The sequence below is a fragment of the Homo sapiens genome, chromosome 5 (assembly GCF_000001405.40).
Source record: "Homo sapiens chromosome 5, GRCh38.p14 Primary Assembly".
NCBI classification, from domain to species: domain Eukaryota; kingdom Metazoa; phylum Chordata; class Mammalia; order Primates; family Hominidae; genus Homo; species Homo sapiens.
This window is the reverse complement of record NC_000005.10, coordinates 115,756,751-115,774,777: the sequence shown is the minus strand read 5'-3', so window position 1 is coordinate 115,774,777 and position 18,027 is coordinate 115,756,751. Positions and strand designations below refer to the sequence as shown.

The window sequence follows — 18,027 nt, the reverse complement described above, 5'->3', positions numbered from 1 at the left end:
GCACACAAGAAACATCACTACTACTGCATGGCCTTCTTTAGCAGCATGTGGAAATGTTGCAAACCATGGGAAGGCTTGGATTAACCCCATAAAGGGACAAAGCAAGGAAAGAACTGGCTGGGATTCCCAACAATCTTGGAGTTCAAAGGACCCATGGTAGGGCTGTTCTGGAGTGTTGGATGGGATGATAATTATTAATAGTTCCATCTGGTTCCTATAAAAACAATCACTTCAAAAACATTGATTATTAAAAGCCTCATAGAAAATTTATTTTTACCACTTCTCGGCCTGGGTAAGATCAAGTGTGGTATCTGTTTATATCAGTTTAATATCTGATACATCCTCTATCGGAGGATAATATATTGAATGGATTTTTGGAGCTAGTAGATGGACTAGTAACTTGCCCCACTCCACCCATTGACCTGGTATTACAGTACCTCCAGGAATGGTGCATCCCCTTTGGGGTATAGAATGGTTGCAACAAAAAGTAGATCAAGGCTGGGTGTGGTGGTTATGTCTGTAATCCCAACACTTTTGGAAGCCAACGTGGAAGGATCGCTTGAGCTCAGGAGTTTGAGACCAGCCTGAGCAACATGGTGAAACCCCATCTCTACAAAAAAAAAAAAAAAAAAAAAAAAAAATATTAGCTGGGTGGGGTGCAATATGTTTGTAGTCCCAGCTGCTCAGGAGGCAGAGTCACTTGAATCCAGGAGGTAGAGGTTGCAGTGAGCTGAGATCGCGCCATTGCACTCCAGCTTGGGCAACAAGAGGGAAACTCTATCTCAAAAAATAAAAAATAAAAATAATAAAGAATTTTTTTTAATTACTGGGAGGAACAGTGTCAAAGTTTTAATGTTGTCTTTCAGGGATAAGATGACAAATGGCTTTTCCTCCTGCCTCTCTCTATATTTCTATACTTTCCAAATGAGCTACAAGAATGTAATGTAGATATTCATACTCAGACTGACTGGCTCCACTATCTAATACCCAGGTGGCCCTGGACTAATTTCTAATCTCACTCTACTTCCATTTTTTTCTGTAAATGGGGATTCTATGAATAATGCCTGCTTTCGTAAAGCTGTTGTGAGAATTAAATGAGGCAATACAAGTAAAGGTTTAAACAGAGCCTGGCATATAGTAACTACACCCACATTTTGGCTATTGTTACTATTACTGCTATACTTAATTGATTCTAAGACTCACATTTTTCTCTTTCATTTTTACTGCTTTCTAATTGGAATATATCTCATAGCTGATGATATGACATGCTTAATGGACAACCCTTTTTATTGTCTTGGTGACTTTGGTGGTTTGATGCAGTCAGTCTGAACAGCTGTGCAGTTGGCTTTGCACTGTTGCAGTCTAGGTCAGAGGCTCTATCCCTTGGGCTATGTGGTATTTTGAACTTGCTGATTACTGCTGTTTATGAAGGCCTTATCCACAGGCCAATAGCTATCTTTTTGAAGGCAGACCCGACAAATGCATGGGGCCCACAGTTGCCTTCAGAAGCTAGCCATGAGGGGGCTGGTGAGCAAGCAGACACTGGCCTTCCTGTCCTCAACAAAGCTACTGTCCCCCAGTGGGGGCTTTGCTCAGCTGGCTGCTGCCTGTCCTTGGATTACACAGGCATAAATGCTCTGGCCTCTTGGGCTTCTGGACAGATTCTAGTGGGCCTCAAAGGGCTTAATACTGAAAAAGCTAAGGCAGTAGTCCATTTGTAAGGGGGTAGGGGAAAGTCTTTGGACATACTTTAAAAGCAGCACACTTTTGGTGCTTTTAAAATGCAGTGCAGCTGAAGGGTATTTGTGTGTGTGGTGTGTGTGTGTCTGTGCATGCGTGTGTGTATGTTGCAGGAAGTTTCAGTTAAGAGTGCCAGACCCTGGGAGGGAGCACTAGATGAGCTGCTCCAATTTCATTCTGCATCCAGGACCAAAGAGTGAGCTGTGAAGGAGCTAACCTTAAATTCATAGGATTTGTACACAGATTCAAGGATCACTCCTCATTGTGTGATCTCAAGATGTCCCAGATTAGAATGCAGAGTTCTTAGGACTACTGACCTGGCAGTAAGAGGTAGTAGAAACAGCCTCTATGAGCAAAGACAGAAAAAGCCAGATCAGAAAAGAATATGATTGCTGTGTAACTTGGCGGTGCCTACGTTCAGTTCAATATTGGGGTGCTAGTGAAGGAAGATGTGTGCTCCAATGGAAAACTATGAAACTATGTCACATCTAGACTAGCACAATACACCCTTCATGGTTATCTAATTTCTATTCTATGGGAGCTATTTTCTAACTCTGTAAGTAGGAAAATAACTGATGCCAATCAAAATAATTACTTTCTTTGTATTTTGAAATTTTTTTGAAGTGAAATTTTTTCTGGTGGAGGAACAATACTCCCTCATCCTCTCACTACCCCATGCCCATGCAGAAGCCAGTTTTGCATCCAAATGAGCATTCACATCAACATTTCTTAGTCCATAAAAATTTGTACTTCTATGACTTCTCCTTTGAACCAGTTGCCTGGTTTCTCCACTTAATTAATGGGTTACATAACATCTTTAACATGTGCTCATTTTCTATCTATATGAGAGTCATGATTTTGCTTCTTTTTAAAATATCTTTGAACACTAGAAACATGGGATTCAAAGGACAAAGAACAATTTAGGAAGTTTTGAATATACTGGATGGGAAAGAAAGGCACCTCAAATAAGACTGGGAATGCCCCTAGGTCAGCTCTCTGGACTTTGCTCAAAGCAGCAGTATCTTAAATGCTCTTTTCTGAGAGGTGACAATATGCGTAGGAGTATTTCTCTCCCCATCTGGAAAATTCATGGTTCCAAAAATAAACTCTTGCCAAGAGCCATTTCCTAGTTATTGTTAAGCTCCCAGATCATGGCCTATGGACAAGTGGCATAAACTCTGGCATACTGGTGCAGCTCAAACCAAGAAAGTGTCTTCTTCCACTCAATGCTGCCGAATCTCTGCTGCGGTCTTTGCCAACTCTCTTTGGTTTAGACTAAGTACTGAGTTGGGAGAATATAATTTTGTTCTGGGATAACTGCCCTAGGGACTGGGGATGCAGCAATTTTCTAAATTTGGTAAATGTGGGACCAGTGCTATTAAGTACTACTAATTAACTCTGAACTTTTTCCAAGGGTGGTACATGAAAGATTTAGCGTGAAGTAATACTACATCTTGAGAACTACACTAATTCTGTTATGGAACAGCTTAAGCTGTAACTGCTGAAAGAATCACATTATCCAAGATGGAGAATCTCTATCTGAAAACTGAACAAGATAAGAGATTGAGAGGGGTAAATTTTGAATTGGTATGTCTTTGGACATTAACACTGAATGGCAAGGGAAACTGATTCTGGACTTTTAATTCCATTGGACAATAATGTTTTTAGAGTCATCTTGTAAGCAGGCTTAGTTGCTCTTGTGAACTCTTTATTTTTCTTGAGATACAGTATTGCTCTGTTGCCAGGCTGGGGTGCAGTGGTGTGATCATTGCTCACTGTGATTTCAAACTTCTGGGCTCAAGCTCAAGCAGTCCTACAGGTATGCACTACCACACCTGGTAATTTTTTTCCAGAAAAAAAATTAACAGGTTTATTTATAATTATTACAAAGCAGAACTGCTGAAACTTGTTCACTGAAACATTTTGACTTGCATTAACGCTTTACGTCCCTGCATTTACATTAAAAATTCACAAGAACTACCAATAACAGCAAGAAGATAATTTTTTTTTTTGAGAATGAAATGTTTCCCATCATAGTGGATTCTTAAGCACATTCTCCACGTATGCAACGTGCTAGCTGGATGTCTTTTGGCATAATTGTTACACGTTTGGCATGGATAGCGCACAGGTTGGTGTCTTCAAAAAGGCCAACCAGATAGGCCTCACTTGCCTCCTGCAAAGCACCAGTAGCTGCGCTCTGCAGCCCAGATCTGTTTTAAAGTCCTGAGCAATTTCTCCACCAGATACTGAAAGGGAAGTTTGCGAATCGGAAGTTCAGTGGACTTCTGATAATGTTTAATTTCTCGGAGTGCCACAGAACCGGCCTGTAACAATGAGGCTTCTTCATCCTTCCAGTAGTGGGCGCACTCTTGCAGGCGGCTTTTGTAGCCACTTGCTTTCTGGGTGCTTCACCACCGGTGGATTTGCAGGCAGTCTGCTTTGTAAGAGCCATGGTATAGAGACCTCCTTACTTACCCCCCTTCTCCTTAGGCTGGAGCTCAGCGAGTGAGAGGTGGTGCTGGCGTTGGAGAGCAACGGCCCACACCTGGTAATTTTAAAAAATTGTTTGTAGAGATGGGGTCCTGCTGTATTTCCCAGTCTGGTCTCAGACTCCTGGCCTCAAACAATTCTTGTGACCTTTTAATGGAAGAGAGTTTATATTCATATTTCTATGCTTGCTGACCATTTTTTGTTGGACTGTCTTCATATTGAACCTCTAATAGACTATGCTGGTGCAGGAGGCTGCTCAGGACTTGTGATGAAAAACAGAATAGGCAGTCAACTTTTGGAATTGGGTAGAAAGTGGCTTTGGACTTAATTTACCTACTATACTGTTCCGATGCATTTAAGACTCTTCTGGGGGCAAAATCAAAACTGCTCTCTGGTGGTTCCAGGATGATATTCAAAGGGGAAGTTGTTGGTATTGCAGAAGCACCCATGAGATGGGAGCATGGACTGAGAGCCTGCTGATATTTTCCCCCAAAGGAGCAGCTGCACCCAAGGGTTAATGGTTAATAAAAAACACAACTAGACAACATGTTTAGGAAACTCTCCTGACGTTTCTTTCCATGTGAAGGACATTGATTATATAACACTTTCTTCACTCCTTTACTTATAAACCCATGAGTTTGGAGGAGAAAAATGGGCATACAAAGTGTAAACTCTTCACTTTTCATTCCTTCTGGCAGTGAGCTGCCCTACAAAGGATATGTGTCTTCCTCCTCTACATTGAGATGGTGGCCTTGACTAGCACTCCTGGGAGCAGAATCTCTAATTCTGGTTCCAATATCAGGCAGCTTGCTTGTCTGCAGATATAAGCTTCCTTCTCCAGTATCAGTTTTATCAACAATAAAGGTAATATTTCAATTTTACATCTGTTTCTTTTCTTTTCCTTTTCTTTTCTTTTTTTTTCTTGCTCTGTCACCCAGGCTGGAGTGCAGCAGTGTGATCACGGCTCACTGTAGCCTTGACTTCCTGGGCCCAAACAATCCTTCCACCTTAGCCTCCCAAGTAACTGGGAGCACAGGCATGCTTCACTACCCCAGCTAATTTTTAAATTTTCTGTAGAGAAGAACCAACCCATGCTGGTTCCGAACTCCTGGGCTTAAGCCATCTTGCCATCTTTCTACCTTGGCCTCTCAAAGTTTTGGGATTATAGGTGTGAACCACCTTGCCCAGCCTTGTTCTTTTGATCTTACTTTAAAACTCAACGAGAAGAGAGGTATCATTTTGGGGCTTCTCTCATGTATCAACACTGTGCATTACTATTTTTCACAGTAAAATAAATGTATGTTATTTTAAATTATCAGCTGAGTGTGGTGGCTCATGCCTGTAATCCCAGCTCTTTGGGAGGCAGAGGCAGGAGGATCACTTGAGGCTAGGAGTTCAAGACCAGCCTAGTCAACATAGCCAAGCCCTGTATCTATCAAAAACCTTTAAAAAAAAATTAGCGCATACTGGTAGTCCCAGCTACTTGGGAGGCTGAGATTGCAGGATCATTTGAACTCAGCAGTTCAAGGCTGCAGTGAGCTAAAATGGTGCCACTCCATTTCAGTGTGGGTAACAGAGAGAAATCCTGTCTCTTAAAAAAATAAATAAAAATAAGCTAAATGACCTCTTAATAATTCAATATAAATTAATCGCATTCCATGTCAATTTTATATGCCTTAAACTAATCCCAGAGCCAGTGTGTATACGTACACACACAAAATAGTTTTCAGTATTTGAATGAGAGCTAATTTACATAGGGAGATATTTTAATAATTTATTCAAGAGAGGTAACAGTTTGTGAAAAAAATAAACCTTGTATAAGGTCCCCAGGAGAGAAATTTAAGCTAAATTGATCTAAATTATAATAATTCTATTAGAGTCTCTGTCTCCCAAGACATCATTCACCAAATAACTCCCCCCATAGCAGGATACAAAAAATTTCAAATACGTATGCACAGGCACACAAGTGCATGTATAAAAAAATTTTAGTTACATATTGGAAACACTAACAAGTTTCTCAGATTTTTGTTTCTTTCAGCTATTTGATCTACCTTTATTCTCCCACATTCCCGAAGGGAACATATATTCTATATATCTGTATAGCTATAAATCTATGTATGTATGTGTATATGTATATGTATAGATATAAATGTATGCATATTAATATATATTTATATTTACAATACATATATAACATATATTTATATATTCCCTCTTGTCTTCACAATTAATACTTGGATATTACCTTTACATTGGTAGTTATAGATATATTCTTTTTATAATCAGAAAAAAATTTGTGTGTAAAATCTTCAGGTGTTATCCATGTAGATAATAAGGGAAGTAGAATTGCTCAACAATGCACAGCAAAAATCTTAGCTATCCAGATCTTCAAATAAGTCTCGGATCTGGGATCTCAGGCCCCATCAGCCTGGGGCCACCATGAAAGTAGTACAGGATTTACTGGCTGTCATCTGTCTTCTCTATTGTGAGATTTTGAGACCTTTCCAAGTCCCTGGGCTGTCTCATGTGTGGCTCACACACAGTATTTTCAGCTATTATCAAATGTACATATGTTGGGGGCTACCCTCTCCAAGCCTCTTGCACAGATTGCAGATGGAGGTGGTGTAGAAGAGTACAGGAGGAGAGGGAGGAAATGGGCCAGGTAGCAGTAAGAACCATAATTTCTCAGAAATGCCCTTCTCTCATTCAGTGGCTACTCTCCTATCACCTTGTATTAGTCTGTTCTCATGCTGCTATAAAGAACTGACCAAGCATGGGTAATTTATAAAGAACATAGGTTTAATTGACTCAAAGTTCCGCATGGCTGGGGAGGCCTCAGGAAACTTACAATTATGAGGGAAGGGGAAGCAAACACGTCCTTCACTTGGTGGCAGGAGAGAGAAGTGCTGAGCAAAGTGGGAAAGCCCCTCATAAACCCGTCAGATATCTGGGAACTCACTCACTGTCAAGAGAACAGCATGGGGGAACTGCCCCCATGATCTAATCACCTCACACAAGGTATCTTCCCCAACATATGAGGATTACAATTCAGATTACAATTCAACATGAGGTTTGGGTGGGGACACAGAGCTAGGCCATATCACACCTTCTCTTGTAAGTCTTTCCTTTTCTTTAGAGGAGGTCCTTCTCAAGGAGCCCTGAAGTCCCTCTCCATGGACTTTCTTCTTGTGATTACATAGCTGTGAATCCTAGGCCAGGCCTAGCTTGGGTTCAAGCTAAACCCACCATTGTGTTTTCTGATTGGCTGAGTTTCAAATACTGAGACATTTATCCTTTGAAAAACAAAACAAAATTTTAAAAAACAGTTTGGATAGAAATGGAGTTCACTCTTCATTAGGGCTTTAAATGATACCTGAACGTGAATCAAACTTTCTCTAATGATCCAGGGTCAACCTTATGAACATGATAGTTGGCACTGTTCTATGACACAGCTATTTCCTGCTCTTGAGCTTTGTAACTGTTTGCTACAAGTCCTAAAATGCTTTACTTCTGGGGATCCTCTGTCTTCTATTCACGGTTATAGTGTCTTGTTATAGTCAATGTCCTTGTGAATTAAAAACTAGAAAAGCAATATTGATAAATTTGGTGTAAATTAGAGTAAGTTGGCTCTTCTGAGAGTTACTGGAGTTTTCCCATGAATATAACGTATACCCTCAAGAGAATTTGGGAATCTTTATTTTGGCTGCTCTGATGCCTTTGTGATTTGGCTTCTAGGTCACAGCTGATTTCCTGTCTATGACTCTGCATCCTGATTTTTCCAAGGCAGTCATAATGTCCTGGAGTAATATAGTGCTAGTTTCTGCTTTCATTCTCAAAGGTGTTGCAAACTGGATAATAGATTAACTGGTCACTTTACAGATAAGTGATAGTATCAGCAGGTTTAAAAACTGTAATAGTTTCTTCTCTAAGTGATCTATATATCAGGATTGTACTCAGGTTCACCAAAAATGAAAAAGAAAACACGAAAATGTACAGTAGAGCTTTATTCTAAAGATTTACAGATTTGCTTGCCTAATAGAAATCTGAGATTGAAGGAGGAAATCTAATATTAAGTACCTACTGTTTACCTTGACCTATGCCAAACACATTCGCATTTATCAAATTTATTTAACCCTCAAAATAGATACAATTCTCTTCTATGTAAAAGGGAGTCAAGTCACCAAGAATTAGCTTACGAACCTCGAGGTTGACATAAGGAGAAAAGAGAGATGCTTTTAAACCACAGATAGACTTATTTCAAATTCTTTTATTCCATTCCTAACTACAGTGTTTATTATTATCACACAATATGCTGGAGAACCTCTTCTTGGTAACATTATAACATTGTCTTCACAGTTGGTTAAAAGGAAGAGGTAGGATAGGAAAAAGAACTTAATTTAATTCGGAAGTGTTTGGAAAGCCTTGGTTTGGAGAAGTTGCTGAATATAATGTCATAGCTTTAGTTTAATTGTAAAGGGTACCTGGCCGATTACTGCTTTAGTTTCTGAGGTCTGTGGCTTTGAACATTGATAAGCATGAAATGAGTCAAAGGAATGGAAAATCGTGGGGGAAAATGTAACTTTAACCATTCTGGGTATATCTGGGAATGCAGCCCTTCATTTTAAAAAGTGAAGGCTTACAGCACAAAATAGTAGGATTCTGAGAAATGTGTCACACCCACCCCATCCATAATCATTTAAAAAAACTGTCTATATATTAGGGCCCAAGTCTGCCATTTTGATTTATGTATATTCTTTTTTTCTTATGTTTTTAATTTTTCTTTTCTTTCCCTGATTTCCTGTAGGTTACAAGAACATTTTTTGAAAGTCCATATTTATTTATCTGGGATTTTTGAGTCTATTTCTCTTTATAGTCTTTTTTAAAGGTTGTTCAAGTTATTATATTATACCTACATAAATTAACACAGTGTACTGGTGTTAAGATTAACCAGCTCAAGTGAAGTATAGAACACTTAACCCCACTTAAGTCTCCTTTACCCACTTCCATTTATAATATAATTGTCTTAAATACTTCCTTTATGTACATTGAGAAACATATTGTTAAATTAAGGTTGGCCTATAGCTGTCTCTTTATGTTTTAAGTACTGCCTAAAGCCTTCTTAGTGTATAATAGACTGTAACCCAAATTGATGTGTAAATAGACTGTAAACTACTTTAACAAATAGCTGAGGCTCAGCCAATCACAGCAGCTTAACTTCAGCCAATCATAGAAAGCCAGCTGTTCAAACCAGTTTCAAATAAGGTAAATGCCCACCTTTAACCAATCCAGCTGTTTCTGTACTTCACTTCTGTTTTCCGTATATCATTTTTTTTTCCTATTTATAAATGTTATCTCACTGTGTGGCAACCCTGGAGTCTCTCTGAACAGTTTTTGTCTTTGATTTTTAGAAGTTTGATTATGATATGTCTTGGTGGGCTTTCATTTATGTTTATCCTATTTTGAATCTTGCAGTTTGTTGACTTTGTAGGTTTATACTTCTTGCCAAATTGGGATATTTTGCAGCTATTATTTTTTGAGTGCTTTTTTATTCTCATGATTTCTCCTCTCCTTCTAGGACTCCAATGACATGGAGTTAGATCTTTTGGTATGGGTCCATTGGAACTTTAGGCTCTGTTGATTTTTGTTCAGCCTATATTCTATCTGTAGTTCACATTAGATAATTTCTGTTGCTCTATCTTCAAGTTCATGGATTCTTTCCTCTTTCTTCTTCATCGTGCCGTTGATCCCATCCATTAAAATTTTAATTTATATTGTTGCATTTTTCAGTTTTAAAATTTCCATTTGGTTCTTTTTTTGCTGAGATTTTCTATTTTTTTCATTTTTTTCAAGTGTACTTGTAAATTTTACTGAAGCCGTTTTATACTAGCTGTTTTAAAACTCTTGTCAAATGATTCAAACAATATTCATGTCGTCTTTTTGTTGGCATCTGCTAGGGTTTGAATTTGTCCCCTAAAGTTCATGTGTTGGGAACTAGATTCCTCAATGTGGCAGTGTTGTGAAGTTATGTGGTTTGGTTCTGTGTCCCTACCCAAATCTCATCTTGAATTGTAATTCCCACGTGTTGAGGGAGGGACCTGATGGAGGTCATTGAATCATTGGGGGCAATTTTTCCCATGCTGTTCTCATGATAGTGAGTGACTTCTCACAAGACCTGATGGTTTAAAAGTGTGTGGTTGTTCCTCTCTGTCTCTCTTTTGCTGCCATGTAAGATGTGCCTAGCTTTCCCTTTGCCTTCTGCCATGATTGTAAGTTTCCTGAGTCCTCTCCAGCCAAGCAGAACTGTGAGTCAATTAAAACTCTTTTCTTTATAAATTAACCAGTCTCAGGCAGTTTTTTTTTTTTTTGAGATAGAGTCTCACTGTGTCACCCAGGCTGGAGTGCAGTGGCATGATCTCAGCTCACTGCAACCTCTGCCTCCTAGCTACAAGTGATCCTCCCACCTCAGCCTCCCAAGTAGCTGGGACTACAGGCATGTGCCACCATGCCCGGCTAATTTTTTGTATTTTTAGTAGAGATGGGGTTTCACTATGTTGGCCAGGCTGGTCTTGAACTCCTGACCTCAAGTGATCTGCCCACCTCAGCCTCCCAAAGTGCTGAGATTACAGGCATGAACCACCATCCCCAGCCGCAGGTAGTTCTTTATAGCAGTGTAAAAATAGACTAATACAGAAAATTGGTATTTGGAGTGGGGTACTGCTATAAAGAGAACTGAAAATGTGGAAATGACTTGGGAATTTGCAACTGGGTAATGGGCAGAGGTTGGAATAGTTTGGAGGGCTCAGAAGAAGACAGGAGGATGTAGGAAAGTTTGGAACTTTGTAAAGACTTGTTGAATGGTTTTGACCAAAATGGTTTTAGTGATATGGGCAATGAAATCCAGGCTGAGGTGGTCTTAGATGGAGTTGAGGAACTTATGGGGAACTGGAGTAAAGGTTACTCTTGCTGTGCTTTAGCAAAGAGACTGGCAACATTTTGCCCCTGCCCTAGAGATCTGTGAAACTTTGAACTTGAGAGAGATGATTTAGGGTATGTGACAGAAGAAGTTTCTCAGCAGCAAAGCATTCAAGATGTGATCTGGCTGTTTCTAAAAGCATATAGTCATATGCATTCACAAGGAGATAATCAGAAATTGGAACTTATGTTTAAAAGGGAAGCAGAGCACAAAAGTTTGGGAAATTTGCAGCCTAATCATGTGGTAGAACAGAAAAACCCATTTTCTGGGGAGAACTGTAAACTTTTGGCTGCAGAAATTTGCGTAACTAAAATGAAACTGAATGTTAATAGCCAAAATAATGGGGAAAAAGTCTCCAGGGCATTTCAGAGATCTTCACAGCAATCCCTCCTATCAAAGACCTGGAGGCCTAGGAGAGAAAAATGGTTTTGTGGGCCATGCTCAGGGTCCTGCTGCTCTGTGCAGCCCGGGGACATGGTGCCCTGTGTCCCAGCCACTCCAGCTCCAGCCATGGCTAAAAAGGGCCAAGATACAGCTTGGGCCATGACTGTAGAGGGTGCAAGCCCCAACCCTTGGTGACTTCCATGTGGTGTTGTACCTGAGGGTGCACAGAAGCCCAGAGTTGAGGTTTGGAAACCTCTACCTAGATTTCAGGGGAGGTATGGAGATGCCTGGATGTCCAGGCAGAAGTCTGCTGCAGGAGTTGAGCTCTCATGGAGAACCACTACTAAGGCAATGCTGAGGGGAAATGTTGGGTTGGAGCCCCCATATAGAGTCCACACTGGGGCACTGACTAGTGAAGCTGTGAGAAAAGGGTCACCATCCTCCAACCCCAGAATGATAGATCCATTGACAGCTTGCACCATGTGCCTGGAAAAGCTTCAGGCACTCAACACCAGCCAGTGAAAGCAGCTGTGGGGGCTTTACCCTGCAGAGCCACAGAGGTGGAGCTGCCTAAGGCCTTGGGAGCTCACCCCTTGCCTAAGGATGCCCTGGATGTGAGGCATGGAGTCACAGGAGATTATTTCAGACCTTTAAGATTTAATGGCTGTCCTGATGGGTTTCAGATTTGCATGAGGACTGTAGTCCCTTTGTGTTGGCAAATTTCTCCCATTTGGAATGGGAACATTTACCCAATGCCTGTATCTCCATTATGTCTTGGAAGTAACTAACTTGCTTTTGATTTTACAGGCTCCTAGGTGGAAGGGACTTGCCTTATCTCAGATGAGACTGTGGACTTTTGGGTTAATCCTGGAATGAATTAAGACTTTGGAGGACTGTTGGGAAGGCATGATTGTGTTTTGAAATATGAGAAGGACATGAAATTTGGAGGCACGGGCAGAATGATATGGTTTGGTTCTGTGTCTCCACCCAAATCTCATCTTGAATTGTAATGCCCAGGGAGGGCCCTGGTGGGAGGTGACTGGATCATGAGGGTGGGTTTCCCCATGTTGTTCTTGTGATAGTGAAGGATTTCTCTTAAGATCTGATCGTTTAAAAGTGTGTGGCAGTTCTTCTCTCTTTCTCTCTCTCTCCTGATGCCATGTAAGACATGCCTTGTTTACCTTTTGCCTTCTGCCATGATTGTAAGTTTCCTGAGGACTCCCCAGCCATATGGAACTGTGAGTCAATTAAACCTCTTTTTTAAAATAAATTTCCCAATCTCAGATAGTTCTTCATAGCAGTGTGAAAATAGACTAACATAGGAGGTAACTTTTTTTTTTGAGATGGAGTCTCACTCTGTCGCCCAGGCTGGAGTGCAGTAGTGCAATCTTGGCTCACTGCAAGCTCTACCTCCTGGGTTCACGCCGTTCTCCTGCCTCAGTCTCCCGAGTAGCTGGGACTACAGGGGCCCACCACCATGCCTTGCTAATTTTTTTGTATTTTTAGTAGAGACAGGGTTTCATCTGTGTTAGCCAAGATGGTCTCGATCTCCTGACCTTGTGATCCATCCGCCTCAGCCTCCCAAAATGCTGGGATTACAGGCGCAAGCCACCGCACCTGGCCCAGGAGGTGAAATCTTTTAAGAGGTGATTAGGCCATGAGGGCTCTGCCCTCATGAATGGATTAATGCTGTCATCACTGGACTGGGTTCATTATTATGGGAGTGGGTTTGTTTTTTTAATTAAACAAGTTCAGCCCTCTCTTTCTGCCCCTCTCCTTTCTTACTCTCCCTCTCTTATTCTCTCTTTGCTCTTCCACCATGGGATGACATAGCAAGAAAGCCCTCGCCAGATGCTGGCCTCTTGATCTTGGATTTCCCTGCCTCTGGAACCATGAGCCAATAAATTTCTGTTTATTATAAATTACCCAGTCGGTGATCAGCTGTAGCAGCACAAAATAGACTAAGACAGCATCTGGTTATTGTCTTTTCTCATTCACATTGAGTTTTTTTTTGGTTTTTGGTGTGATGAGTAAACTTTAATATTGTGGACATTTGAGGCATTAAGTCAGAAGACTCTGGATCTTGTTTAAATTTTCTGTTTCAGCAAGCCTCATCTGAAACCACATCAGCATGGAAAGGAAAGTGCTGCCCCATAACTGCCACATGGGGGTAGAGGTTTAGGTTCCCAGTGCAGCTTTCATTGGCACTCTCAGGAGGAAAGAGAGCACCTCATTACATCTGGGTAAAGGTGGAAGTATAGCGTTCCCACTTGGCCTTTGCTGATGGGATCAGGACAGGGCTACAGTTTTCCTCCTAATGTTTGGCTGGAGTTGGGTGGTTATTGTCAAAAATTTTATTTCTGCACTTTGGAGATTTCTCAAGGAACTTAGAACTACCACTTGACCCAGCAATCTCATTACTGGGTATATATTCAAAAGAAAATAAATTATTCTACCGAAAAGACACATGTACTTGTTTGTACATTGTAGCAGTATTCATAATAGCAAAGACACAGAATCAACCTAGGTGCCCGTCAATGGTGGACTGCATAAAGAAAGTGTGGTATATATGTACCGTAGGATACTATGTAGCCATAGAAAGGAAGAAAATCATGTCCTTTGTAGCAACATGGATGCAGCTGAAGGCCATTATCCTAAGCTGTATTAGTCCATTCTCATGCTGCTATGAAGAAATACCTGAGACTTGGTAATTTATAAAGGAAAGAGATTTAATTAACTCACAGTTCCGTATTGCTGGGGAGGCCTCAGGAAACTTACAATCATGGCAGAAGGCAAAGGAAAAGCATGCACCTTCTTCATAGGGTGGCAGGATGGAGTGAGTGCCAAGTGAAGAGGGGAAGCCCCTTATAAAACCATTGGATCTCATGAAAACTCACTCATTATCATAAGAACAGCATAGAGGAAACTGCCCCTATGATTCAATTATCTGCACCTGTTCCACCCTCAACATATGGGGATTATGGGGATTAAAATTCAAGATGAGATTTGGGTGGGGACACAGAGCCTAACCATATCATAAGCTAATCAATACAGAAACAGAAAAACAAATACCACATCTTTTCACTTATAAGTTGGAGCTAAACAGTGGATACTCATGGACATAAATATGGAAACAATAGACACTGGAGACCGCTAAAGGGGCAAGGGAAGGGGGAGGGCAAGGGTTGAAAAGCTATTGGGTACTATGATCACTGTCTGGGTGACAGGGTCAATCATACCCCAAACCTCAGCATCATACAGTATACCCAGGAAACAAACCTACACATTTATTCCTTGAATCTAAAATAAAAGTTGAAATTATTTTTTAAAAATTGAATTAATTAGATGATTTTTTCTTTTTCACTAGGCTGACCCTTTGACCCTTCCTTGGTTTTCTTGGGGCTTTTTTTTCTTTTATCAGTGTATGTTGGTATTTTGGGTTGCAGGCTTCTCTAGCATCCAGTATGAAATATATAAGGCACGAGGAAATCTAGAGACCTCAGTGCCATGCTGTTTTTTAAGGTTTCAAAGTCCCTAACTGACCTGTTTTTTTGTCTCCACCTTTCCGAGTATTTTTATGTTTATGTATGATGTCCAGAGATTTTAGCTATATCTAGAGAAAGGAATAGAGAGACACATCTATTTTATCTTCTAGCCATAATCTTTTAGCCCTTTTGATGCACCCTCAGTGTCCATATATTTTGAAATAACCATGATCTCCAGAAGGTTCTATAATCAAGATTGATACATGGCTCTCTGTGTCAGCTGGTTTCATCAACTACTTCTATAAGTTTAAGTTGTTATTTGTGACTAGGGATATTAATTTAGACACAAATGTACATGGAGTGACTTACCTTGGTTTAATTTGCCTTTGTTGAAATTGCATTCTGTCAGATTATTTTGGCCAAATTTCCTTCTTTAGCCCTGTAATTAGGTTAGTTCTTAGTCCCTAACTTCCTGAGCATAATTTTTTTTCCTAATTGTTTGCTTTGGGCTTATAAATGAAACTTCTTCCTCTAATCTCAAAATTCATTTCATGTATGGGGCTGTTCTGCAGTGAACAGATATATGCAGGTCTCCCCCTCAAAGGCCAAGGAAGCTGGGAAGCCAGAGAAAAGAGGCTGACAAATCCAGTTTCTCAGAAAGAAACATTTGATAGGAACCTATGAACAGAAGCAATGCCTTGGGCAGCTGAGAGACCATAGATTTCCACACCTACCCTCCTGAAATATTCTTTCTATAGCAGGCTTTTTTTTTTTCTTTTTTTTTTTGGTAAAACATGTAGCTACACTGGACGCAATCAGAGAAGTGAAAAGGCACATGTCCTTTTCTATCAGGTTGGTGCAATTTTCCTCTAGCCATTTGCTTTTCATTTCTATTGCTAGCTAAACCTGTGTTGACAAACAAATGGCCCACAGAAGCAGCCAACCCACTGCAGTGGCTATCCACTGCCCTTCCTTACCACACTGCACCATATGCCTTTCAGTTAATAACCACTCTAGGCCAACCAGCTTGTTCAGGGTGTCTCCATAGTCACACAGAGTCCAAATGCATCTAACAGACGTGCCACACCATCCCACATAGACGTGGCTGGCCTGGGATTTCCCGTACAGATGCTTCATTCCCCTTTCCTGTCTCTTGGCCTCTTAGCTCCTGACTGACTCACCAAATGTTCTGGGTGAGTAGGTATATGCAGATCTACCCCCGAAAGCCAAGAGAGCTGACAGGCCAAAGAAAGAGGCTGACAAATTCAGTTTCCCAGAAAGAAACATTTAGTAGGGACGTAACAAACAGAAGCCATGCTTTGGGTAGCCACAAGATGATGGATCCCCACACTCGGCACTCCAGAAAATATCCTTTCTGTAGCAAGCTTTTTTTTTTGGTAAGACATGCGCTGCTGGTCACGTCTCAGACCCTCTTATGACATTCATGACCACTGGGGAAGTTAGAGAAGCATCTTTATGAGAAGTTATCTATGATATAGGCATTGTTTCTTGACCTTGCTGTGGGAATGCCTGGATATGCAGGAATTAATGACGATTTCACTTCAAGATGGCATTTTTCTTGCCATGCAACAGGCTGCTTTCCTACAGGAGCCCACTTACAGAGTTTGCCTGTGAGGTGTGATTTCTTTTCTTTCTTTTTTTTTTTTTTTTTTTGAGACGGAGTCTTGCTCTGTCGCCCGGGCTGGAGTGCAGTGGCGCGATCTCGGCTCACTGCAAGGTCCTCCTCCTGGGTTCATGCCATTCTCCTGCCTCAGCCTCCTGAGTAGCTGGGACTACAGGCGCCCACCACCACGCCTGGCTAATTTTTTGTATTTTTAGTAGAGACGGGGTTTCACCGTGTTAGCCAGGATGGTCTCAATCTCCTGTGAGGTGTGATTTCTGAGTAATTTCAGGGTGTTACAAGTTCCTTTGCAAGGGATCGTATATCTTGTTATCAGTAGTGTAGACCTGGAGATAAATTAGTTCCAGGTAGAGGACTTAGAATGCATTTTTAGATGGGAGCCCCCAAAGTGGTAGGGAAGACCTCAGGTCATGATAGGGCCAGGGGATGCCAAGGAAAGGGAGAGAAGCGTGTGCTATAAGGGGTGAGAGAGTGAAGTGATGTGGTTGAATCCCCATATTCAACCTAGAGAAAACAGAGAGAAAGGAGACCACCAAACATGGCATATTTCTGAAAGTTAGCCAGCATGACTGACTGCCTATCAGTACAGAACCAGTCAGATATTTTGTTCTCTATCATGATATTTAGATAAAATATGACAGAAATTACAAACTCAGATGTCTACAGGGGCCAGGTTAATGACCTGGTTACAAAAATAAGTTTTCCTTTCTTTTGAACTCTACTATAAGAAAAGTAATAACCCTATCATGATTACAATTAACAACACCCTCCAAAGGCTTCCTATTTCATCCAGTAAATGACAAACTCCCTTCAATAATCTATAAGACTCCACACCATCTCTACCCTGTTATTTCTCTGATCTCATCTCTTGTTACTCTGTGCCAAGCTAGATTAGCCTCCTTGCTGTTGGTTGAAGACCCTGGGCTACCTCCCTTGCCTAGAATCTTCTCATGGACTGTCATGTCTGTCTAGAATGCTCTTCCCTGGGTTATATGCATAGCTCAATTCCTCACCTTCTACAGGTTTCCTCCCAAAGTCACCTTTCAGTGAGGACTTCCTGGGATCCATGGCTAACATTTTAGCTCTGGAACTGTCTATACTTCTTCCTGGCTGTATGTTTTTTTCTTATACTTCTTTCCACCTAATATACTATTTATCCAACTTATTAACTCTAAATGTCTATCTTTCTCCAATCTCACTAAAATGTAAACTTCATGGTACCCCGTGACAATTAGGCAAATGGAAACCATGCCAGTTAGGTGTGTTTGCATGTTTAGTCTCCAGTACCTAGAATGAGGCCATACATGCATTAG

The 18,027-nt window shown here is 40.9% G+C and overlaps 2 pseudogenes; one reads left to right on the top strand and one right to left on the bottom strand.

The window, feature by feature from the left end:
- On the top strand, positions 276–459 carry RNU2-49P (RNA, U2 small nuclear 49, pseudogene; annotated as a pseudogene).
- On the bottom strand, positions 3,614–4,279 carry H3P24 (H3 histone pseudogene 24; annotated as a pseudogene).